Below are 25,604 nucleotides of genomic sequence, written 5' to 3'. Positions count from 1 at the left end.
TATCTAGCTTAAAATTGATTAACCCTTTCAATTTAACAGGGTACAGAAATATTTCTTTACGTTTGAGTGAGTTCTTCATGTTTGAAGCGACAAACCTCAATTTTTCATTAAGCTTTTAAAAGAGTTAAGAGTGAACGTCTTATACAAGGAAGGTGGGAGAGGCTGTGACAAATTTCATATGGGAGTTTTACAGAAGAAATAACTTACAAGTTCAGATATTCAGCTATATTTTAAGACTAAAATGTAATTGGGGCTTCCTAGGTAATTTTTCAGCATATCATAAGATATTATATATTTTTTCATTTTCAGCATACTATTTAGAACTTAGGTAATGGAGTCTGAAACTCTGCCAAGCTGTAATTCACAGCTTTGCAGAATCATTTGGCTTAGAATATGAATCCCAGCGCCATGCTTAAATTACTTATACTGACAAACAAGACTATTAGCTCTTCTATTTGGAGAAAAAACAGTATGCTTTAAAGTCTTTCAGGCTGGGCATTGTGACTTACCTGTAATTTCAGCACTTTGGGAGGCCGAGGCAGGTGGATCTCTTGAGCTCAGGAGTTTGAGACCAGCCTGGGCAACATGGCAAAACCCCATCTCTACAAAAAATACAAAAATTAGCCAGGCATGGTAGCTCCCACCTGTAGTCCCAGCTACTCAGGAGACTTAACTGGGAGGATCGCTTGAGCCCAGGAGGCAGAGGTTGCAATGAGCCGAGATGACGCCACTGCACTCCAACCTGGATGACAGAGCAAGACCCTGTCTCAAAAAAAAAAAAAAAAAATCTTTTGTTCACATAGAAAAACTCTCAAATCTTTTCTTTAATGATAAATTCATATTTGAATAAAAGAGCAAACAGTAACCATTAGGCTTTGCGGGACATGTGTGGTCTCTATCACATATTCTTGTGTTTTTTTGTTTGTTTGTTTTTTTATTAATGGCCCTTTAAAAATATAAAAACTATTCTTAGTCTTACCCACAGTCGTTAGTTTACCTGGCCTCTGATTTCTTATGTTCTACCTCAATTTGAGGTGGGTTGATACCCTCTTTCAAAATATAATACCAGGCACTATCAATAGTGAAGAAGTGACCCACAGAATGAGAGAAAATATTTGCAAATCATACATCTGATAAGGGATTAATAAGCAGAATATATTTTTAAAACTTCTAAAGCTCAACAGTAACAATAACAAAAAAACCCAATTTTTACAATGGGCAAAGGACTTGAATAGACATTTCTCCAAAGAAGCTTTACAAATTATAGCACATGAAAAGACACTCAAGATCACCAGACATTAGAGAAATGCAAATCAAAACCACAGTGAGATACCACTTCACACCCATTAGGATGGCTGTTATTAAAACACCATAAAATAACAAGTTTCGGCAAGAATGTGGAGAAATTAGAACCATATACATTGGTGGTGGGGATGAAAAATGGGTCAGCTACTGAGGAAAACGATAGCAGTTCCTAAAGTAGTTAAACATAGAATTATCATGTAATATAGCAATTTCACTTCTAGGTACATAACCAAAAGAATTGAAAGCAGGAACTTATTTGTACATCAGTGTTCGTAGCAGCATGATTCACAATAGCCGAAAAGTGGAAACAACCCAGTTGGTCATCAACAGATAGATGGATAAACAAAATGTGGTATGTGCATGTAATGGAATATTATTCAGTCTTGAAAAGGAATGACATTCTGATACATGCTACAATATGGATGAAACTCTGAAAACATTATGAGTGAAAAAAAAACAGTTGCAAAAGGACAAATATTATATGACTCTACTTATATGAGGTACCTAGAGTAATCAGATTCATAGAAACAGAAGGTAGAATAGTGGTTACTGGGGAGAGGGAGGAATGTGAAGTTACTGTTGAATAGGTATGGAGTTTCAGTTTGGGATGATGAGAAAGTTCTATAGATGGATGGGGGGATGATTGCATAACCATGTGAATGTACATAATGTCACTCTACTATACCTAAAAGTGGTAAAAAGAGTAAGTTTATGTTATGTATATTTCACCACAAAAAAAAAGTGTTTAACAGTAGGATAGTATGTTTTCAAATCTCACAAAATGTATATGGAAACATTTTTGCCATTGGCTCTAGACCTGCACTCATGAGTTAAGCTCTTAGAAGTAATACATTCCAAAGATAACAGTAAACTCTGTTTTTCATAGGAAAGGTAGAGTTAAAATACAATTTGAATATACAATTTGAGATGATAAAAATGAAGATACAGTATTTAGACAAAGGGAAAATACAAAGTTTAGAAATGATGGTTAGTAATTGATTCCAAGAAGTAATCATAATAGGGCATATTTATTTTAAATTTTGCTACATACTGCCACATTAGTCCAAAGATGTCTTAACTAGTTTATATTCTCACCATTAGTATTTGGGAGTGCTTGTTTCCTCACATCTTTACCATCGTGATGTATTACTGTATCTTTTGATCTTTACAAGTCTAAGGGGTAAGAAATTATTTCCTACTGTTGTTTTCAGTTCATACTACTTTTTTTTACTAATGAGTCTGCCTAATTTTTATGTTTATAAATCATTTGTATTTATATGAAACACATGGTCATTTTGTTTGGCCACATTTTCTCTTTCGAGTAGGGTATTGGTCTTTCTCTTTTTTTTTTTTTTTTTTGAGGCAAAGTCTCACTCTGTCACCCAGGCTGGAGTGCAGTGGTGTGATCTCAGCTCACTGCAACCTCTGCCTCCTGGGTTCAGGTGATTCTCGTGCTTCAGCCTCCCGAGTAGCTAGCGCGCGCTACCATGCCCAGCTAATTTTTGTATTTTTAGTAGAGACAGGGTTTCACCATGGTGGTCAGGCTGGTCTCAAACTCCTTACCTTAGGTGATCCACCCGCCTCGGCCTCCCAAAGTGCTGGGATGACAGGCATGAGCAACCGCGCCTGGCCGGGTATTGGTCTTTCTCTAATTGATTTGTAAGAGCACTCACTTGAACACATTTGTGTGTGTGTGCCCTCTCTTTCTCTCTCTGGATATATACACATAGTAATATAGCATATTTAGGGTTTTTTGACACATAAAGTATCCACTTATTCATCAGCTTATTTGTTTAAATCAGGAATGATTGGTGATTACATGGTTCTGATTTTATGAAGATATACATTTGGGTTTTTTCTTTCTTTGTTCCATTAATATAGTGAGTTATATTATTATGTACATAGCTTATTGACCCATCCTGGTAATATATCCATTACCCCCTGGTAATGGATATATTGGTCTTTCCATAAGCTTCTGGAGTCTCTATTTGCTTTCATAATTATAAATAAGATTCTGTAATTTTCTTTTTGTGCACGCAGTTCTTTGTCAGTACTGTGTCATACTGGCATTGTGAAAACAGTTTGGAAGCTGTCTTTCTGTATGCTCTGGCACTATTGAAATAGCAGTGGGCTTATCTGTTTTTTGAAAGTTTGGTAGAATTTACCTACGAAACTTTCTGATTGTGGTCCTTTTTTGGGAGTATTTTTCTTTTAATAATTTTCTCAAAATTTTCTTTGATAATTGGTTTGTTGAACCTGTTTTTTTCCCACCTTGGATCAGATTAAGTTATTCATTTTCCAGATTATTTAGAATTGAGCATTCTCTCATAAGTCTTGGGTCTTCCCTCCCATTCTTCCTTCTTTCTTTTTTTCGAGACAGGGTCTTGCTCTGTAGTGTGCTACCACTCCCAGCTAATTTTTAATTTTTTTTTTTATATAGACGGAGTCTCGTTATGTTGCCCAGGCTGGTCTCTAACTCCAGGGCTCAAGTGATCTTCCTGACTTGGCCTCCCAAAGTATAGATGTGAGCTTCTACACCTGTAGTGCTAGTATTAGAGATGTGAGCCTCTACGCCCGTCCCTCTTATTTCTAATGATGTATATTTGTGTTTTCTTCCTTTCTTTAAAGCTTTGTGATTTTTATTAATGTTATTGTTTTGTCCCAAAGGACCAGTGCTTATATTTATTCATTCTAATGTGTTTTTGTTTAAAATCTATTAATATATGGTTTCATCTTCATTCTAATACTTGGATAGGCTTTATTTTGTTTCTCCTAGCTTTTTGGATACAGAATTAACTTATTTACATTTATTCTTAGCAGGCTATAGGCTTTCTTATAAGCATTGCTTTAGCTCTCTCATATGTTGTGATGTTCAGTATTCTTGTTATGATTTTCTAGATGTTCTGCAACTTTCGTTTTGTTTTATAGTTTTGACTCTGGTTTGTTTTCAGGAGGCAGGTTTTTGCTTTATTATTAATTTTTTATTTTATTGCATGATGATTAGACAGTGTGATAAATTTATTTCTCCTATCAAAAATGTATTGAGATTTTTGTTTGCACCCTGTTATGTATCAGCTAAAAAGTTTCATGGGGTCTTGAAGTATATTATTAATTTTCAGTGTATAGAATTCAACATTTATCAATTAGATCTATCTTATTAATTATGTGATTTAGATCATCTTTTTTCTCTTAAGTCTGCTTTCTAAAAGCATACAGCTGGTTCCTTTTATTTGTGGTAGTTATGTCGTATAAAATCACTTCCAGCACAGAATTAGCAAATGGTGAATCATTGCTCCTAGGGGAAATACAAAATTAGCTTTCTATGAGCCACTGATAACGTTTTTGTCAGCTGATCAATACGTAATCTTTTTAATGTGTTTCTGTTTAAAGATACTGTATTTAACATTTGATTCATTAGCATTGAACTCATAGCCAGTAGCACTTTAACTTATACTTGAATTAAGTTTATCTAATATACATTTTTTCTCCAAAAGTCATATTGCAGCCTTTTTGCATGTAGGAATGAACACTAAACATGTTGAGGGGGTCATTTGAAAACACCACATTACCAAAGCAAAAGTACAAAAATGCAGAAAATGCAATAAATATGTAGTCATGTGCCACATACAACATTTTGATCGATGTCAGACTGCATATCCAGTGGTGGTCCCATGAGATTATAATACCATATTTTTACTATATCTTTTCTATTAAGATATGCTTAGATACCCAAATACATAGCTATGGTGTTATAATTGCCTGCAGTATTCAGTACAGTAACATGTTGTACAGGTTTGTAGCCAAGGAGCAATAGGCTATCTCCTATAGTCTGGGTTTGTAGTAGACTGTACCATTTAGCTTTGTGTAAGTACACACTATGATGTTTGCACAATAATGAAATCACCTGATGACACATTTCTCATGAGGCATCCATCATTAAGCAATGCATGACTATCACAGAAAGGACACTTTAAAGTACACAAGTGGAAACAAGAAGGCAGAGTGGCTCATTGTTCAGCCTCAGCTGGGAATATGTGTGTCAGGCAATTCAAAATATTTACCACTCTGCGTCTCCATAAATGATGCCAAAAGTATCGTGAGTGTTGATTTTTAGGGTTACAGAGAAATTTTGGCAAGTCGGTGAATTTGCAAATATAGGATTAATGAATAATGAGGATTAACTGTATTTCATGTGGGACAGGAAAGATGAATTGAAATCACTGTTGTTTCTTATATTTTTTGTTGTATTTCCTGAAGTGTTTTCTTTTTGCATTGTAATGCTGTATTGAACCCTGCATGCAGTGAGTTAGCTGTGATTTCACCTCAGCTGAGATCATCTCATCATGAAGTTGCCACTTCAGTCCCACTTTATGCTGCCTGCCTTGTTCACATCTCCTCATTTAGCCCTGGGTCTCCTTACTTTATGGTATCACAGAGCTTAGAAATGTTCTGGTCAGCTATTCTTAGACCCAGAACTGCCATTCCAAGCAAGAGAGACTGTTATCATGTCTTCTTGGGATTTATACATCAGTTTTGGAGAGCTGTATAATACCTGAAACTCTTCTCACCTTTCTCCCTTAGCTAGGTCAAATATTTATCATATTCATTAACTCTTCTTTATAGTTTGTGTGTTTGGGGGTTTGGAACTATTTTTTAATTTTATGGAAAATGTATTTTGTTTTTGTTCTCTTACTACCTTTTGATTGGTTTAAGGGAAGATCAAGGCAAAATTGCTTTTATTTATATTTTATTTTATTTTTTGGTGACAGGGTCTCGCTCTGTTGCCAGGCTGGAGTGCAGTGGCACGATGTCTTTTCTAAATGGATTCTTACCAAATTAAAAATGCGTGGCATGTTCTTGGTCCTAAGGTGTTTATTCCTTCTTAGGCTTAGGCTTTCAGTTGATATATTCTCCTTAATTCTTCCGTTTCTTTTCATTTTTTTTTTAGGCAAGGTCTCACTGTGTCACCTAGGCTGAAGTGCAGTGGTGCAATCTCAGCTCACTGCAACAACTCCCCTCCCCACTGCTTCCCCCAGGCTTGAGCGATCCTCCTACCTCAGCCTCTCAAGTAGCTGGGACTACAGGTGCATGCCATCACACCTGGCTAATTTTGTTCTTTTGTGTTTTTTTTTTGTATTTTTGGTGGAGGCAGGGTCTCGCCATGTTGCCCAGGCTGGTCCCTAACTCCTGATCTCAAGCAGTCCATCCACCTAGGCCTCCCAAAGTGCTGGGATTACAGGTGTGAGCCACTGCGCCCAGCCCTTAATTCTCTTTACCATATATTTGTGAGAGATTGTTACTCATGTTTTTTTCTGATTATAAAACTAATTTTTTAGAAAAAGTGTAATATAGAAAATATGTAATATTCAAGAACAAAAAACAAAAGCACCCTAAAATATTAGTGCCCAGAGATAACGGCTATTTTTTGTAAGTTTTTTTCTTATTATTTCCTAGGAGCCGATTCTAAAAAGTAGCTCAAATGATGACAGTCTGTTACTGTCAAATGTGGCATTGAATTAGGGATGATTGCCAGTATTCCTTCTAGTTCTGAAAATTTTGATTCTGTAAAATTTTATTTTTCTTGGTAAACCTTTTCAAAGGGTCTCATTTTATAGGTAGTATGGTAGATTGGTCTGACAGATAATAAGTATTAAATTTGATTGGTGGGGAGGTTCTCCTTTACACATATATAAATATTTTTTGTTTTTATTTTTATTTTTGAGACAGGGTCTCTCTTTGTCACCCAGGCTGGAGTGCAGTGGTGTGATCATAGCTCACTGCAGCCTGTATCTCCTAGGCTCAAGTGATCCTCCTGCCTCAGCCTCCTGTGTAGCTCGGGACTACAGGTGCATGCCACCATGCCTAATTTTTTTTTTTTTTTTTTTTTTTTGTAGAGACGGGGTTTCGCTGTGTTGCCCAGGCTTGTCTCAAACTCTTGGGTGCAAGTGATCCTCCCGCCTCGGCCTCCCAAAGTGCTGAGATTACAGGCGTGAGCCACTGTGTCAGCCTCCTTTATGTTTTTATAGTATGATTAGTTCATGTCAATGCCTAAATTAATGATTTTTAGGATGGTACGTTATCTCATTGTGTGTACTTTCTCCTTCTTCTCCCTCTTAGGCTATGACCAGGGCCAGAGCACTCAGATCTCAGTCAGAGGAGTCTGCTTCTGCCTTTAGTGCTGATGACCTTATGAGTATAGATTTAGCAGAACAGATGGCTAATGACTCTGATGATAGCATCTCAGCAGCAACCAACAAAGGAAGAGGCCGAGGAAGAGGTCGAAGAGGTGGAAGAGGGCAGAATTCAGCATCGAGAGGAGGGTCTCAAAGAGGAAGAGGTGAGCACTGAGTTCAGTCCTGTGCACATTCACACTTGGCAGTTGAGTGGAAAATACAGAATTAGATCTTGTCAGAGTTGAATTATAAGTTTTATTTCTAAAACACGGTTCTTTAAAAATCTATTTTTATAATATATAAAGACAGTCTTTAAGGCAGTTCTGACATGTGCCTTTTACTTAAATAAATTTTGAATGGCCACATGCACTTAGGGTTTTAATTGTTCTTAGCACATACCTTATAAAAGCTTCACTGTGTTTGTCACGTAGTACCTTTTGGATACATTTAATGTCATATGTATTTTCACATGTGCAAAGTAATAGGCAAATATGAGTTGTTAAAGAAAATAGCTAAAAGCCTTTGGCAACAGGAGGAAAACTCCAGATCATACAATTATTATTTTTGTTACTGTCATAAGATACAAATACACATATGCTTATCAAGTAGTCTTTATAAAGTCAGTTTAAGAAAGAAAACTGCCCCCCAATTTGATTCCTAAAACTAGTCATTAACATAGTCAACATTGTATTTACTGTGAGACTATTGTCATTGAATAGTTCACGCCAATAGAAATTGGTCACTCAGTGACTTTCTCACACATTATGTCAGTTCATCTCTAAAGATTTTTTAAAATTGTTTTTATTAAATATGCATCCATAGGAATTTTAAGCTGGTGAAATGAATATTAATTTGGTTTAAAATCTCCAGGGAGAGAAATCCTCATCTTTTAATGATGATTATTTTCACTATTCTTACATTTACAAAATTTTTCCTTAAAAATTTTTATTTTTGTTTTTTAATTTTTCTTGAGATGGAGTCTTGTCTTTGCTCTGTTGCCCAGGCTGGAGTGCAATGGTGCGATTTCAGCTCACTGCAACTTCCGCCTCCCAGGTTCAAGCAATTCTCCTGCCTCAGCCTCCCAGGTAGCTGGGATTACAGGGGCCCATCATCATGCCAGTTAATTTTTGTATTTTTAGTAGAGGTGGGGTTTCACCATGTTGGCCAGGCTAGTCTTGAACTCTTGACCTCAAGTGATCCTCCCGCCTCTGTCTCCCAAAGTGCTGGGATTACAGGCGTGAGCTACCACGTCCAGCCTATTTCCTTACATTTTAATTGGATAAATTAAATTGGATAAACTGAAGTGTGGCCTAAAAGAATAGTCTCTGAAAATTGGTCAGACTCTAGATGTTTGTTCTTATATATATGTCTGGCTTTTTACAGACAAACTATTTGACATAAGTTTATTTAGCTTTCATTTTTTAGTGTTGTATGAAATAAACCTTAGCTGCTGATAGGCTTGTACATTGACTGTTCATTTTTCTAACAGCAGACACTGGTCTGGAGACTTCTACCCGTAGCAGGAACTCAAAGACTGCTGTGTCAGCATCTAGAAATATGTCTATTATAGATGGTGAGTATAGACTGCAAGTGATTATTTATAAATTCCAACATTAGAAAGACCAAGGTAATCACCATTGGTAGCCCTTATTTGTGTTGCAATCATTGGGAAGTTATAAGGGCAATTAGGATCACAGGATAAATTATTTTTTAAAAGATCTTTGCTATGCATTAGAGTTACTGAAGAGGGTAAGCTTTTAAAATCATGTTTTATAGGCCAGGCACAGTGGATCACACCTGTAATCCCAGCACTTTGGGAGGCCGAGACAGGCAGATCACGAGGTCAGGAGATCGAGACCAGCCTGGCCAACATGGTGAAACCCGGTCTCTACTAAAAATACAAAAATCAGCCAGGCGTGGTGGCACATGCCTGTAGTCCCAGCTACTTGGGAGGCTGAGGCAGGAGAATCACTTGAACCCAGGAACTGGAGGTTGCAGTGAGCCAAGATCATGCCATTGGACTCTACCCTAGCAACAGAGAGAGACTCCGTCTCAAAAACAAAACAAAACAAAACAAAAATTATGTTTTATAATTTCTTACTTTCAGACAAATGCTGTTTCTGTTTGGCAGAGAGACCCTGGAAACAGGAAAGTGAAGTAGTTGGTCACTATATGGACAGTGGTCGAAAGAGAGAGGAACTGTCTCTACTGTTTCCTTGCTTCCCCCATACTGCCCTGTCAGTCTCTGCTTTCCATATAGAGAAGTCATGTGACCTATATTTAAGAGAAATTATGGCTAGGCCCTTGGAATTAATTTGTGTATATCCTATGGTCTAAAAATTGGCCTCAAGGGGATCTGTTTAACTATTTTTAATATTATAGATGATGAGATCAGCCTAAAATGTTAGTCATATTTACAAAAAGTATGCATTAAGATAGGTGGTGATACTTTTTTCTACCTAGCATTTAGAATATATTCATATGTATATTATTTATATTATCAGTTATTTGAGGTTATTGTTTCACTTTTATAATTATAAATATTTTTTAAATATTATAATTGTAATATTTATAATCTTATAGCTAGGATTAATTGTTGACACACTGGGGAGCTGAACTAATTCTCAGAAGATGAAGTTTATCAAGGGTAATATAAACCACATTTATGTCCAAAAGGACAGCTGCACAAGTAGAGTTGTGAGAGGTATGTGAGTTTAACAGCAACCCAGGTGAAAAAGACTTAGGTCAGTAAGAGTTATGCAGGCATACCCAACTGTCCAAATCTATTGATATTTTAAACAGCATTTAATGAGTCTTGCAGAGGTGTCCAAGGGAGAGAATACAGTCATGGATTCTTAGTTTCTGTTTCTGGTTGGGCCAGTAAAGCCCTTTTCTCATCCTTCTTTTCCTCATATCACTAGCGACAGAAACTAAAAACCATGGCTTCAGCTGCTAAAAGCCTAAAACAAAAGAAAACAGAACGAAAACAGAACAAAAACAATAACAAAATGAGGTGGGTTGGACAAGCTTGCACAGCAAGGAAGTTCTCTCTGTGTACTAAATTGGCCATAACATGCCAAGGATACTGTACTCCTCTTTGGAATTATATTTCAAGGAGACTGTCAACTATATATGATCATTCAGAAGAGATACCAAATAATATAAAAAATGGTTGGCCAGGCGCAGTGGCTCATGCCTATAATCCTACCACTTTGGGAGGCTGAGGCGGGCGGATTGCCTGAGCTCAGGAGATCGAAACCAGTCTGGGCAACAAGGTGAAACCCTGTCCCCTACTGAAAATACAAAAAATTATCCAGGCAGGGCGGCGTGCACCTGTAGTCCCAGCTACTTGGGAGGCTGAGGCAGGAGAATACTTGAACCGAGAAGGTGGAGGTTGCAGTGAGCCGAGATCATGCCACTGAACTGGGTGACGGAGCGTCTCCAAAAAAAAAAAAAAAAAAAAATTGGTTGAAGGAACTTAGGATTTAGGATATCTAACCTGGGAAACATTCAGATCTTTATGTAGATTATGTTCTATCGTGTAAAATGTGGAATGAATAGATTTGATCTGTTTAGTCCCAAAGGCAATGCTTTTTAATCTATTTTGGCTTATGGATTCTCTAAAAATCTGATGAAAGCTATGTCTTCTCTCCTTAAATAAGTACTCACATGCAATTGCACCCAATTTCAAAGGGTTCAGCCACTCCCATGAGGCGCATTCGTGTTTTCCAGCTTAAGAACTCCTGGCCCAATGGGGATGGATGGGAATAGCTAGAAACATACTGATTTAAGTTTCTCATCTGATAGAATGGACCTGGAAGATTTAAGAACAACTTTGTTCCCCTGTTTTATATGTGAGGGAACTAAGCCAAGCAGTTTTGCCCTGAGTTGATAAAACCACTAATAGTAGCAATAATAGCTAATATTTATGAAACTGCATGCCTCTTAACAGGTCTGTGGGGTAGGTACTTACTATATTATTTCTGTTTTACAGAAAAGGAAACAGGCTTTAAAAAGATAGGTAGCTTATCCTAGATCTCATAACTTGTCAGTACCAGATCTGGGAATGATCTCACATTCTCTGCACTCTACAACCAGTAGTTGACCACTGTACTAGTTTCCAGAGCAAGGTAAGATTAGAGACCTAGCTACTAGTTCTCCATAGAATAATTTTTGCATTATGCAGAATAACCTATGTAATTAATATAAAGATGGACTAATTTGCCTTGGAAGTAAGTATCACTCCATTAAAGGAATTTTCAACATTTATCAAATGACAGCTGACATTGAAGAAAAGATACAAAATCAGGTTGATTAAATGACTCTTAAACCTTACAAAAAATTCCATTGCTATATTTTTACTCAAGTATTATTTAGTACTTCAGAAGAGCTAGCTAAGATCCTTAGCTTTTTGCTTCACAAACATGTTGTCTTTATTGCCATTTAGGGAGTGGTATCTGGAAAGATGCTGTTCCATTCTTGGTAGGTTTAATATAAAAGCAGAGAGGAAGAAAGAGAGAAAAGGCAGCCTGGAAAATTGTAAAGGATTCATGCTGAGTTCAACCTTGCATTCAACAAATGACAGCTTTGTGACTTGAGACAAATCAGTCACTCTCCTAGTTTGTTTAGATATGATTGGAAATAATAATCTCTATTGTATTGGGTTATTCTGAAGATTAAATGATCAAAAAGCCTGGCACAGTAGGCATTTATCAAGTGTTCTTTTAAAAATGAGAAAACAGGAACATAGAAAAAGAGTGAATAAAATAATGAACACTTCCATGTTAAACCACCAAAATTGGTTAGCATGCAATCGACAGAGTCATAGATGTAGATTACCCACCTTTACCTTAGCCCAAATCGTCTTTTTTTGTCCTGTCTTGTTTTATTTTTCTTTTTTGTTTTTGTGTTTTTGTGTCCTGTGGAATCCAGTGTCCTGGCTTGTTTTATGTTAAGCTTTCCTTGACTCCAGTGGGTAGAATTCATCACTTAAAATGAGTCGTCTTTGAGTTTCCACTGTAATTAAGAAATCAGATATCAGTTAAGCTTGTTGGTTTTTGTTTTTTAAAAAATAACCTGTTTTTCTCTCAGCTTGCTGTTTTTGGTGTTCTGCAGTTTCACTGTGATGAATCTAAAGATGGTACTCTTGTTTAGCCTGCTTAGCAATTATTGGGCTTCATGAATCTCTGAACTGCTATCTTCCGTCACTTCTAGAAAATCCTTAGCTATTATCCCTTCAGATGTTACCTCTATGCTATTCTTATTCTCCTTCTGAGTCTTCAGTTAAATAATGATAAGACCTCTTTACTCTCTCCTCACATGACTCTTGTATTTTCTGTTTTCTCTTTCTGTGCTACATTCTGAATAATTATTTCTGATCACTTTTTTTTTTTTTTTTTTTTTTTGAGACAGAGTCTCTCTCTGTCGCCTAGGCTGGAATGCAGTGGCATCATCTTGGCTCACTGCAACCTCTGCCTCCCGGGGTTCAAACAATTTTCCTGTCTTAGCCTCCCGAGTCGCTGGGATTACAGATGTGCACTACCACACCTGGCTAATTTTTGTATTTTTAGTAGAGACACGGTTTTACTGTGTTGGCTAGTCTGGTCTTAAACTCCTGGCTTCATGTGATCCTCCTGCCTCGGCCTCCCAAAGTGCTGGGATTACAGGCATGAGCCACCTTGCCCAGCCTATTTGCTTCCTTTAAAATATGCTCTGTCACTTTTAATAGTTTTTAGAAGTTTTCTGAAGATATTTTTAGGCCTGTTTTAATTTTTCGTGTGTACACAGTAAGGACTTCTTTTATTTTGTATCTAATAACCTAGTGTCTGAATGTCTTTGGCCTCTTTCTGTTGTCTGTTTCTGTGGGTTCTTATTTATGGTGACTTATTTCCTTCCATGCTTTGTTACTTACTGTCCCTAGAAAATTATCAACAGGAATAATTTGAGACCTTGGATGAAGCCATCTTCCTTCAGAGAAGATTCACGTTTGTTTCTCTAGGTTTGTAGGGCACCACAAGTCATAGACCACTTTAAGCTAAATTTGAGGGTTTCTTGGACCAGTCATTTGATACGTACTTGTAACTAAAATGCAGGTTCAGTCACTTGCTGCTTGCAAAGTCCAATTAACAAGAGCAAGGTGTGGTATAAAGAAAGTGACTTTTTATTCCAAAGCGAACTTAGGGGAAGAAATACAGGCTTCCTACCTTAAGGGTACTGCTTCCCCCTTTGCAGCAGAAAGTGGACTCTTTTAAAGGGGACCTATCAGGAGTGGCATGCAGGGGAGGAAGCGAGCAAGTGGGGGGTTTGCATTCTAGTTTGGTGTCTTATCTACCAGGCAGTTGAATTGGCATCTTCATGGGTAGAAATAGGCTATAAAGGTGGCCGAATACTCTCTAGGTTGGCGAGAGTTTCATAGCAGGACTTTGGATTGTGAATTGACTGTTATCTCTAGAGGCAACCCCCTGGTGGGTGATAGTTCAACTCTGGAGCTTCCAAGCACATAGTTAGATGAACTCCCCTTTTAGGGAGTCTCTGATGAAGAGGAAGTAAAAGACTATAGTTGCATTTCTAAAGAACTAAGTAGAAAGTGGGGGAAAGGAGAAAAGAAGAGAGAGAAAAAGTAATGAACTACCTCTTAGAAAAATGAGGGTACTCAGTTACATGCTTATGAAATCCTGTTTACCTCTGCTTCTCTCTTCAACCACTGGGGCTCCACCTTAGGAAGGGAAATGCATCGGGGTTTTCACTTTGGGCAGCCGTGGGCTGTGGTAGCCCTCTCTATTTTTCTTCAGGATTCTCAAAACCAATGTTAACATTTTCCCAATTGAAAAGTGAACTCAGGGAAAGGACTCTGCTTACCTCTCTGAGTTCTAGCTTTTCTTCAGTTTTGGCCTGGTAATTCCTTGGTATGTGATCAGCTCTTCAATGCCATTGAGAATTTTTTTTTTTTTTTAAATGTTTGAGGTACTAATTTGGATTGTTGTCAGCAGAAGTGAGTTTGAAGACAATGAGAGGTCATTTTGTCTGAATAACCTAGCCTGCAATGACTGTTACCCATTGACAACATAGAATAAAGCTTCTATTTGTGTAGAAAGACTGGAGACCAGTTATGATGCCTTAAAAGTTTTACAGAATGGCTTGACTAATTTTTTTAAGGAAACAGTATTCATCTATGAAAAGAGGCTATGTAAATAAACTAAATACGAAACGTCAGATTTCCTGAATTATGTTGTAAGCAAAAATCTTATTATGGTACCTTTTGCAGCAGAGCATGATGGTTAAGAATGCAGGCTCTGGAGTCAGGTCCATTGGGTCAGTCACAGCCAGCTCTTTACTGCTGGCTTAGCACCCTTGCACTGTAAGTGCTGTGAGAAAGGGGTCTGCATCATTCCTCCTCATCACTGTATCCACTATATTTGGCACATAACATAGTAGATGCTTGTTAAATACTTGACAATGACTGAGTAAAAATTACTTGGAGATTGTGTAGCGTAAGGGTGAAGACCATGGTTCTAAAGTGAGGAAGATCTTGGTTTGGATCCTGACTTCTCAATTTTACTAGTTGTGTGTCCTCCAGCAAATATGTTAAGTTTTTCATCTTTAGGAATGAGTGTTCTCATCTGTAGGATGGGACAATGATTGCGTCCACCTCATTGCGTTATTTTGAGGATTAATGAGAAAATGCATGTGAAGTATCAGGCAGTGTCTATGCATATTAAGCCCTCAGTAAGTGCAAACTGGTGTTATTCTACAAGCATCAGATCCCTTAGCTATAAAATTTGACAATGTTGTACTGACTTCAGAGTAATTTTATTAAATGAGCTTAAGTATTTACAGTACTGATCACAGCACCTGGTAAAAATGCGACAGATGATAGCTGTTATTAATATTAGTGGTAGTGTTTTGCAATAAGATTATGAAGATGAATATTATGTGAATCATTGGTCTAAATTTGTCTTTTATCTAATTGATTTGATATAATGGTTTCGCTAACTTAACTGATTACCTCCAGTACTAGGCCTTTTTTTGAAAAATGAACTGATTTTTTAAGTATAAATTTGTGAAACATTTTTATCAGGTTGGATTTGGTGGGTTTTTTTTTAAGTCTCTGACAGAATACCTGTGAAGTAGTAACTATACTTGTCATCACTTTGGGACAGAAGCAACAAATTAAGACTGTAACTTCTAGATCTCTGTTTTAAATGGAGGAGTGAAGAGATAAATAAAGGTCAAATTCTCTTATAACAAGGTCCATGGAGTATGGAAATTTATTATTGTGCTGCAATTTTATTGGAAAAGATAAAAATTACACTTGTAGCCACGGGAGTTGTAAATAGGAGTTGACAGCCCAGATTTTTCCATTGAAGTTAGTCAGCAGAGGATAGTGGCTAGGTGAATAAAAGTACCTCTGAAGTCACGGCCTTTACATTTCATTTATACCACTATGGGTACCACTGCTGCTACTATGTTTGCTACCCAAACAGCTACATGTATTTGAATGCTTTCTATCTGCTAGACACTTCCTCTTACCCTCTCAGCAGTTTTCTGCATGAAGTATTAACACTGTTTTACAGGCGAGGAAATTGAGTTTTAAAGAAGCCAAGGAGCTTGGCCATAGTCAAGCTAGTAAGTCAAAATGAGTCTAACTCCAAAACCAGAGCTTTTAACCACCACACTTTATTGTCTTCCTAACAGAACATATTGCTTAGTTTTCTGATAAAATTATTTCACAACATCACTCATCTTTTGCCTTCCAGTGGGATAAAAAGAAAGGTATCTTGTTTTCTAGGATCTCAGAGTTAAAGGAGTCAGTGAATAAATACTGAACAGAAATATTCTTTGAAATCATCATGATCACTGGATTTTTTATTCAGTTGCTCTGTCTAGCCTTTTGAGTAGAGTAGGATGTGAAAAAAGTAACTGAGTAAAGCAGATAAGAACACTGTTTCTGCCTCTCGTTTCTCCTCTTAGATATTACAAGTTTGGGGACAGAACCTAGAATAGGAAACATGTGCAAACACAATAAATTTAGGTTAGATAGAAAGATTCGTTAGTTTTCTGACTAGGAGAATTTTGGACTTTGCAGGATTTTTTGAGTATTTGTTTGTTTTTCTGTGCCCTATTTAGTTTGTGAGTTATCTTGGGGAAGATATTTTTGATATTAGCAAACTGGTAAGGCATAGGAGAAAATAAACCTAAATTAGACGTTTGAAATTTATTGTAGGTTTTGTTTTGTTTTGTTTTGTTTTGTTTTTTGAGACGGAGTTTCGCTCTGTTGCCCAGGCTGGAGCACAGTGGCACGATCTCGGCTCACTGCAACCTCTGCCTCCTGGGTTCAAGCGATTCTCCTGCCTCAGCCTCCCAAGTAGCTGGGATTACAGGCACCTGCCACCATGCCTGGCTAATTTTTATATATTTTTTAGTAGAGTTGGGGTTTCACCATGTTGGCCAGGCTTGTCTTGAACTCTGGACCTTAAGTGATCCGCCCGCCTCAGCCTCCCAAAGCACTGGGATTACAGGCGTGAGCCACTGCGCCTGGCCTTATTGTAGGTTTCGATGTCAAGGAAAAAGAAAGGGAAAGATAAAGAGCTAGCTAAACTTCAAGTATCTAACCAAGTTTAAAAGGAAAAAAGGTATGGATACAAAGGAATTTTTATCATAGAATGCTGTTTTCTAGAATTCTCCTCTGGAATATTTCTTAGATATTGAATATGGCTACTAAGGTAGAGGAAAATGAGAAACTACTGGAACCCCATGGCTCCTAATGTAGCAACAGGGATAAAGGTATCGTCAACAACAAAGAAGGGATTAGGAGGCTTTCCTTCAATACATTTGTAGTTCATTTGGTTAGGTGATTAGATTTTATCCTTCAGGTGTTTTTCTATGAAATATTTTTAGTGTGTGTATTTATAAACACTACAGTATCTCAATAAGCTGGGAAATAATGAGACTGACAGTTGGGCATTGAGTTATGCGTACCTATAATTCTATCTCCCTTTAGATTTTTAAAAATATCAAATAGTTTTATAATTAGGCATCATTCAGTTTTGCAGATAGGACTCAGAAAATCTTTAGCTAAAGAAGTATGCAAGTTTTTCTAAGTTATTTTAAGAATAACATAATGCACATTTCATCTTTTTCATTCTAGCCTTTAAATCTACAAGACAGCAGCCTTCCCGAAATGTCACTACTAAGAATTATTCAGAGGTAAGAAAAAAAGTTTTATGGTTGTGTATTAATAATTTATGTTTTCTGCATTATGAATTGTCAACTCTCTGATTTACAAAGTAAATAAAAGAAGAAAAATTATGGAACATTAAAGCTGGAAGGAGCTTTACCAATTATCTCTAGGGCTTCTAGGATTTGATTTTTTTTTTCTTGGTTGCTCTCTTTTTTTAAATAATGGTTATTATAGAAATCCATAAATGTTATGTATACAGTAATGTTTTCAAGGATAACAGTGTTGAACCAAAAGAGCTCATACATGGAATACTAATATTGAAGGTGAGTTCAATGGTTATAGAGGTTTTTTCTATGCTGGATTTCCTTTTGTTACTTATCTTCCCAAAATACTAGCTGTGCCTTAACAGCTGTTGCTAGACTTAAGATGAATGAAAAGGCTGGAGTCCAGCGATCCATGTGGTTTGCCCTAGGTTTAGCCTGGGCCTTCTGCTCTTCCTTTCGATTCCAAGAAGAGTCCAATATGGGCTTGATTCTCTTATTACTTCACTTTCAAAACTGTGTGTCTTAACTCCCGAGCCAATACTCTTCCCTTTACATCAGGGTTTCTCCATAGTAGCACTGTTGACATTTTGGACTAGATAATTCTTTGTTGTGAAGGGTTGTCCTATGCATTGTAGGATATTTAACAGCATCCTTAGCCTCAGGGGCTGTTCGTTCAGTATTTGGTCTTTGGCTTCATCCTCATCTGTACTTAAGTTAGATGAAGATATGGCAAATGTATGTATCAAATGTCAAGATAACAAAATGTAGAGAAATAGTATTTTGGGTGGTAGAATCAACAGTCAGAAATATCTTTATTGGGTCTTAACACTAACAAATGGTATTTAAGAGGGACAGATTTAACAGAAAGATATCTAGTATTTCCCACATGGTCTGATACCTCATTTAAAGTTGGAGATGGAACACTGATGGTCTCACCTCTCATAAGAAACTAAGAGGAAAGTCATAAGGTCTGCATATGAGCCTATGCAAGTCATTCACCAGTGTAACTGTGTTCCCTTAGGTGCTCAGGCTCCTGGGATGGCCAGGAGAGAGGTGAGCAAAAAGTAACATTTGTGAATGAAGAGGGACATTGGAGGGAGGTCAGACTGAGTGTTAGTTTTAATGGTTATGGCTTTCTGTCTCCTTTTTTGTGGCTCATATATAACTTAAGATTTAATCGTGTAATTCATTTCTTCATTTTCATTTTTATTCAGAGTCTATTCTCACAAAAACTGTTTGTTGCTTTGTTTCCTTGCCAGGTGATTGAGGTAGATGAATCAGATGTGGAAGAAGACATTTTTCCTACCACTTCAAAGACAGATCAAAGGTAGGTGCAGTGATTTTCTGCAAAAGAAACATCTGAAAAAAATTAAAAATTATCCAGAATTCCAAAGTTACACATTTTTCTATGCCATGTAAGTTTAACAGACTTATTTTCAACTAGTAAAGTATGTAGAGGAATGAAAACAGACCAAGGGCTAGTTTATAGAGTTGATGCAGCATTAGTACAAGGATTTTCAGTGAAAATTGAAATAGCCTGTAATTTTTTTCCTTTTGACTTTATTAGTGCTTTTCTTTCTTTTTATTTATTTATTTATTTTTTGAGACAGTGCCTCATTCTGTCGCCTAGACTGGAGTGCAGTAGTGCGATCTTGGCTCACTGCAACCTCCACTTTCTGGGCTCAAGCAATTCTCCCACCTCAGCCTCCTGAATAGTTGGGATTACAGACGTGCACCACCACACGTGGCTAATTTTTTGTATTTTTGGTAGACACAGGGTTTTGCCATGTTGCCCAAGCTGGTCTTGAACTCCTGAGCTCAGGCGATCCACCCACCTCGACCTCCCAAAGTGCCTGGATTACAGATGTGAGCCAGTGCGCTTGGCCTCAGTGCTTTTCTTAATGGAAGACTGTGTTCTCTCCAAATAACAGAAAATAATTTTGTATTTTGCTATCATTTGATTTCAGCTTTTTGTCATTGTCTTATTTTTATATTCTTAACTACACATGGTACTGTACTAAACACTTAAAAGGGGATCACGTAGACTCAGTCTGCCTTCAGAGGACTTGCATGCTCTTCCTGTGTGTTTTGGGATTTTTTGCCTATTGCTGTTAAGCTTGACTTGATTCACTATTACCATTTGCTTTTATACGTTAACATTTTGGTTGAATACTGCTTAACTAAAGCTCGAATAATGAGAATTTCTACTTAATAAAGTAATCAACTGCCTTATTTTGTACTTATTTTCTGTTTGAGCATTATATTAGGTCTGATGAGGGAGGGGCATAACGAATGTTTTAATATGGCCTCTGCCTTCAGGTAACTTCAATTATAGTGGAAAAGAGAAATGAACATATTTGAATTCATCAAAGAATGAATTAGTACATAATTAGGTGTAGAATTTTATATTACAGACCCATAAGTGTGAGTGCTTATGGGCTGGTGAAAAAAGGAACAAGGAATGTGGGCTAGAAGAAGCAGCTTCATGGAGGGAATAAAATTGACCTGAGGTTTCAAAGATAAGATTTGGCTTAGTAGGGTGGAAAACGGTGGTCCCAGCTGAGAATAAGGGCATGAGCAGGAACTCCAGAAAGAAGGGTGATTGAGGAAAAAGCCTTATATCAGTGTTTCTCAAGCTTTTTTTCCATTATCTCAGCCATTTCTTGATTATCCAAGGAGAAGAATTAAGTAACTTAGATGTAAGTCAATTTCTCCCTAACGTTAGAAATTAAATACTTAAAGAATGAAATTTTTTTGGGTATGGTTGAGTCTGAGAGGGCCAAAAACCGTAGCTTTTTCATCCCACTCTATCCCCTGGAGCCAATTTTTGTTCTTTATGATACTGACCCCACTGAGAATATAAGCTGTATGTGACTTAAAGGTTAATGTTAGAGCAAGTGTAAGTATAGTTCCACGTTCACTTATTAGATCCTTCAAACATCATGCTAGGTTCTGGGGATAGAAAGATAAATGTTTCTTCCTTCAAGGAATTTACACTTTAGTGGTATGCTAATTACAGGGCACTGCTAATCCACCAAGATAAATGTTTTCTTCAGGTGTAATGAAACCTAAGGGACGTGCCAGTATCTTCCTGGGAAAGGTCATTGAAGGTTTTACAAAGAAGATAGGTGACATTTGAGCTGGTGATCAGCCGATCAGTTAGCATGCATTAAAGGAAATGATCTGGTGTAGAGAGAAGAAACAGTGGCACAGGACGGGCATCTACTTTGAAGGATGGTCATGGAAAGCCTCTGAGGAAGCTACATTTAAGCGGAAATTTTAATAAGGGAAATGTGGCCTTGCAAAAAGCAGAGGGACAAGTGCATGCAGCCTGTATTAGTCCATTTTCTCACTGCTGATAAACACATACCCGAGACTGGGCAATTACAAAACAAAGAGGTTTAATGGACTCAAATTTCTACATAGCTGGGGAGGCCTCATAATCATGGCAGAAGGTGAAAGGCATGTCTCACATGGCAGCAGACAAAAGAAGAGAAAAAGAGCCAAGTGAAAGATCTTGTGAGACCTATTCACTACCACGAGATTAGTATGGGGGAACTGCCCCCGTGATTCAATTATCTCCCACCAGGTCCCTCCCAGAATACTTAGGAGTTACGAGAGCTACAATTCAAGATGAGATTTGGTAGGGACACAGCCAAACCATATCACAGTCTATTGAAGAAGCAAGTTTAATAATGTTATTTAGGAGCCAATGACTAATGTGTGGTGGAAAAGGAGGTTGTTTGAGATGAGAATAGAAAAGAGACACAGGGTAAATCATGCTGCAGGAACAGGTGAGCACTACAAAGGTATTGGATGTTGTTATAAATGCAGTGGGAATCCACAGAAAGATTTTAAGAGAGGAGTGGCACCTTGTGATTTACATTTACAAAGGATCACTGTGGTTGCAGAACAAGTGTAAACAAGCTTATCTGAAAGGAGGGTGCTGCAGGTAGTCTGAGCTAAGAGAGACGATGGAGGCTTGCACAGGCTGGTGGTAGGTGAAATGGAGGAAACAGATGGTTTCAGGATATATTTTGAAGATAGACATGACAAAACTTGAAGATGGATTAAACATTTGGAGTAAGGGAGAATAAGGAATCAAGACTGATTTTCTGGTTTCTTGCTGGAGCATTTACATTGTGCCATATATTGAGAAGGGGACAAAAGAAAGGACAGATGTGTTGTAGGGAATGATAGGCATATAATTAAAAGTTCCACTTTAGATGTGAAAAGTTTGAGATGCCTAGAAACTTACATGAAGGGAAGTTATAGGCAATTGAATGTGTGAATTCAGAACTCAGATAAGGGTTTTTGTTTTGTTTTGTTTCGTTTTGTTTTGTTTTGTTTTTTGAGACGGAGTCTCGCTCTGTCTCCCAGGCTGGAGTGCAGTGGCGCGATCTCGGCTCACTGCAAGCTCCGCCTCCTGGGTTCACGCCATTCTCCTGCCTCAGCCTCCCGAATAGCTGGGACTACAGGCCCTGCCACCATGCCCGGCTAATTTTTTGTATTTTTAGTAGAGATGGGGTTTCACCGTGTTAGCCAGGATGGTCTGGATCTCCTGACCTCGTGATCCGCCCGCCTCGGCCTCCCAAGTGCTGGGATTACAGGCATGAGCCACCGTGCTCGTCCCAGATAAGGGGTTTGAAATGGTACTTACATTTACCTCTGGACAGCGTGCAGATGGTACTTAAAACCATTGGGATGGATAGGATCACCTCAAAAAAGAAGGCAGAGCAGAAGAGTGTTTGTTTTCCTAGCCTGCAGTTTTAACCTTACTCAGCCTTTGGGTAGAGTAGAAAAAAACAATAAAGACATGAGAAAAATCCGGGAGAGTATAGAGTTGCAGAAGGCCGTACTGGCCTTTATAGGAGTAAAAAATACCAAGATGGGCGCAGATGCAAATCAGTTTATATGTCTATGGTAAGTAGTGGAGGGACTTATTTTAGCTCACGAAGGTTTACTTGAATTTCTCAGGCTCATTTATGTGTATTTAACAGGACTCCTTTGGTTCCAGCTGATAGAAACCTAACTCAGATTCTCTTACAGAAAAGGAGATTTATTGGAAGATTATCGGGATACCTCAGGTTTTGGAAGGAAGTAAGGGCCCCTTTCTGAGTCCTTGTTTGGTTGTTCTTGTCTTTGTAAATTGAAGCACACACAAATCAGATCTAGCTTTCTAAGTTTTTTTTTTTCCAGAAATGGATCAAAATGCTATTCTGATATTTTTGATATATGCTTAAGGATATTAAAGAAAAAATAGTTTGCTTTTGATATCACAGTAGATTGTTTACTTTTCAGCTGTATAAATGTCTGCCGATTTCTTTAGACATGAAATAGTAATATAACTCACAGTTGTTTGGTACTTCCTATGTGCCAGGCACTTCTCTGAGCATTTTACATGTGAATTAGCTTGCGTGGTGCTCACAACTTCCCCAGGAGATAGATTATAGTTATAACTTTATCATCCCCATTTTACAGATGAAGTGTGAAGCACAGTGGCTAAGTAACTTACCTAAGGTCACCCAACTAGTCATACAGTCCAGGCATTCTGACCCCAAACTCATCTCTGTTGTTGCTTCTTGGTATGGTAACTAACTTCTCTGACCATTGTGCAAGCAATAAGAATCATTTAAGTTTTGAGAGGCTGTTTAACATTTTAGAGGCAATTTCCAAAATTGACATTTTGGAAACACATCAGAAATCAGCTTTGGCAGATTGGTGTTTCTAATTACAGCATCTAAATGATAATTTAGACTGTTTTTGCAGAATGTTTTAGTAATTGCAGGTTATGCATGGTGTTTTATTTATAATTTAAACTATTTAAGCTCTGCCACTTACCAGAGTGGACCTTGATAATTGTGCTAATCTGCTACCTCTGAACCTTAGTTGCTCTTCAAGTTTGCCTGATAAATCCTTCTGTCCTTTCCTTTAGTGCAAAGGACCTGTGAATTTTTCTATTTACTTCTGACATAAGATCTCGTGATTCTCATTCTTTTTTCCAGATAAAACCTTTGGACATATTTCTTTTGCTATAATGACATCCCAAAGCATGTTAATAAAATTGTAGACTAAGAATTTATAAACACTACTTTTATTGAAGACGGGAATCAGCAGACTTTTTCTTAACAGGCCAGATAAGGAGTATTTTAGGCTCGGCAGGTCAAGAGGCAAAACCGGGGATATTATGTAGGTAGACACTTGTATAACCATTTAAAATGTAACCATTTCAAAATGTGAAAACCATTCTTAGCTTATAGGCCATAAAAAAAACAAAACCTGGTGGTGGGCTAGATTTGCTTACTGGCCCCGATCTAAAGTGACTTAAATTTCTTATTAATTAAAAGACATAGGAATTTACTGCAAGTTAAGCTTTGTAAGAGTAGGAATCGGCTGGGCGTGGTGGCTCACGCCTGTAATCCTAGCATTTGGGAGGCCGAGGTGGGCGGATCACGAGGTCAAGAGATAGAGGAGATAGAGACCATCCTGGCCAACCTGGTGAAACCCCGTCTCTACTAAAAATACAAAAATTAGCTGGGCATGGTGGCATGCTGAGGGGGCTGATGCAGGAGAATCGCTTGAACTGGGAGGTGGAGGTTGCAGTGAGCCGAGATGGTGCTACTGCATTCCAGCCTGGTGACAGAGCGAGACTCCATCTCAAAAAAAAAAAAAAGAGTAAAAAGAGTAGGAATTATGATTTTCTTATTAACTGAGATTTGAATAGAAAATATTTCAATGTTCCCATGGTTTTCAGAAGTGGAAGATGGTAATGTATACATTTTGGTACATGATAAGTACTATAATAATATAAGTAAGTATTGTTGTAGTACTTAATATGTGTCAGGCACTGTTCTAAGTGTTTAAGCATATTAACACATTTAGTCTTTATAAAACCATTATCCCCGTTTTACAGATGAGGAAATTGAAGCACAGAGAGGTTAAGTAACTTGCTCAAAGCCACATAGGTAGTAAAGGGCAAAACCAGAGTTCAAACCTCGGCCCCAGAGTCCTTTTCCTTACAGTTAAGTTTTATTGCCGCTAATGTAGATTTTAAGGGAATTGTGTGTTATTTATATTCGTGGCAGCTGCTGGATTGAAAAACTTAGCCAGAAAGGCACACTTGATGAATTATGTAGTTCATTGTGTTTGTTTTTGTTTTTGTTTTGCCTCAGGTGGTCCAGCACATCATCCAGCAAAATCATGTCCCAGAGTCAAGTATCGAAAGGGGTTGATTTTGAATCAAGTGAGGTAAATAAGTAATATTGTTAAATTTTAATTAATTTTTAACTTTATAAAATTTAAATAGAGACTGCCAGCTAGTTGCTGAACTTTTTTTTCTTTGATAAATAACTTCATCTTTTATGTTCAGGGAGTACATGTGCAGGTTTGTTACATGGGAATTGCGTGATGCTGAGGTTTGGTACAGATCCCATCACCCAGGTAGTGAGCAGTAGGCAGTTTTCCAACACACATCCTACTCTCAGCCTCCACTCTCTAGTAGTCCACAGTGTCTGTTGTTCCCATCTTCATGTCCATGTGAACTCAGTGTTTAGCTCCCACTTGTAAGTGAGGACATGTGGTATTTGGTTTTCTGTTCCTGTTAATTTGCTTAGGATAGTGGCCTCCAGCTGCAAAGGACATAATTTTGTTCTTTTTATGGCTGCATAGTGTTCCATGTTACATATGTACCACCATTTTCTTTATCCAATCCGTATTGATGGGCACTTAAGTTGATTCCATGTCTTTGCTACTGTGAGTAAGTGCTGCAGTAAACATGAGTGTATGTGTCTTTTTGGTAGAATGATTTCTTTTCCTTTGGTTATATAGCCAGTAATGGGATTGCTGGGTCAAATCGTAGCTCTGTTTTAAGTTCTTTGAGAAATTTCCAAATGGCTTATAATG

General features: G+C 37.6%; 1 protein-coding gene across 37 annotated transcripts in view; it reads left to right on the top strand.

Annotated features, from left to right (window-relative positions):
* MRE11 (MRE11 double strand break repair nuclease) overlaps nucleotides 1-25,604 on the top strand; it is a 96,843-nt gene that overhangs the window by 57,552 nt on the left and 13,687 nt on the right. For 18 of the 37 annotated variants that reach the window (XR_007062482.1, XR_947828.3, XM_011542837.3 and 15 more), the window contains 5 exons: nucleotides 7,423-7,642; nucleotides 8,968-9,051; nucleotides 17,626-17,684; nucleotides 18,962-19,029; nucleotides 24,875-24,950. Coding sequence is in view for 33 of the 37 variants with exons in the window: in XM_011542837.3 (XP_011541139.1) it covers nucleotides 7,423-7,642; nucleotides 8,968-9,051; nucleotides 17,626-17,684; nucleotides 18,962-19,029; nucleotides 24,875-24,950 (507 nt within the window). In the remaining 4 variants the exon portion in view is untranslated. Of the gene's footprint in view, nucleotides 1-7,422; nucleotides 7,643-8,967; nucleotides 9,052-17,625; nucleotides 17,685-18,961; nucleotides 19,030-22,751; nucleotides 22,803-24,874; nucleotides 24,951-25,604 lie in introns of all 37 variants that reach the window. The other 19 variants (XR_007062483.1, NM_001440472.1, NM_001440465.1 and 16 more) reach the window with 5 other exon arrangements.

Source organism: Homo sapiens, chromosome 11, assembly GCF_000001405.40.
Source record: "Homo sapiens chromosome 11, GRCh38.p14 Primary Assembly".
Classification (NCBI taxonomy): domain Eukaryota; kingdom Metazoa; phylum Chordata; class Mammalia; order Primates; family Hominidae; genus Homo; species Homo sapiens.
The sequence above is the reverse complement of the archived record's forward strand: the minus strand, read 5'-3'. Positions and strand labels throughout refer to the sequence as shown.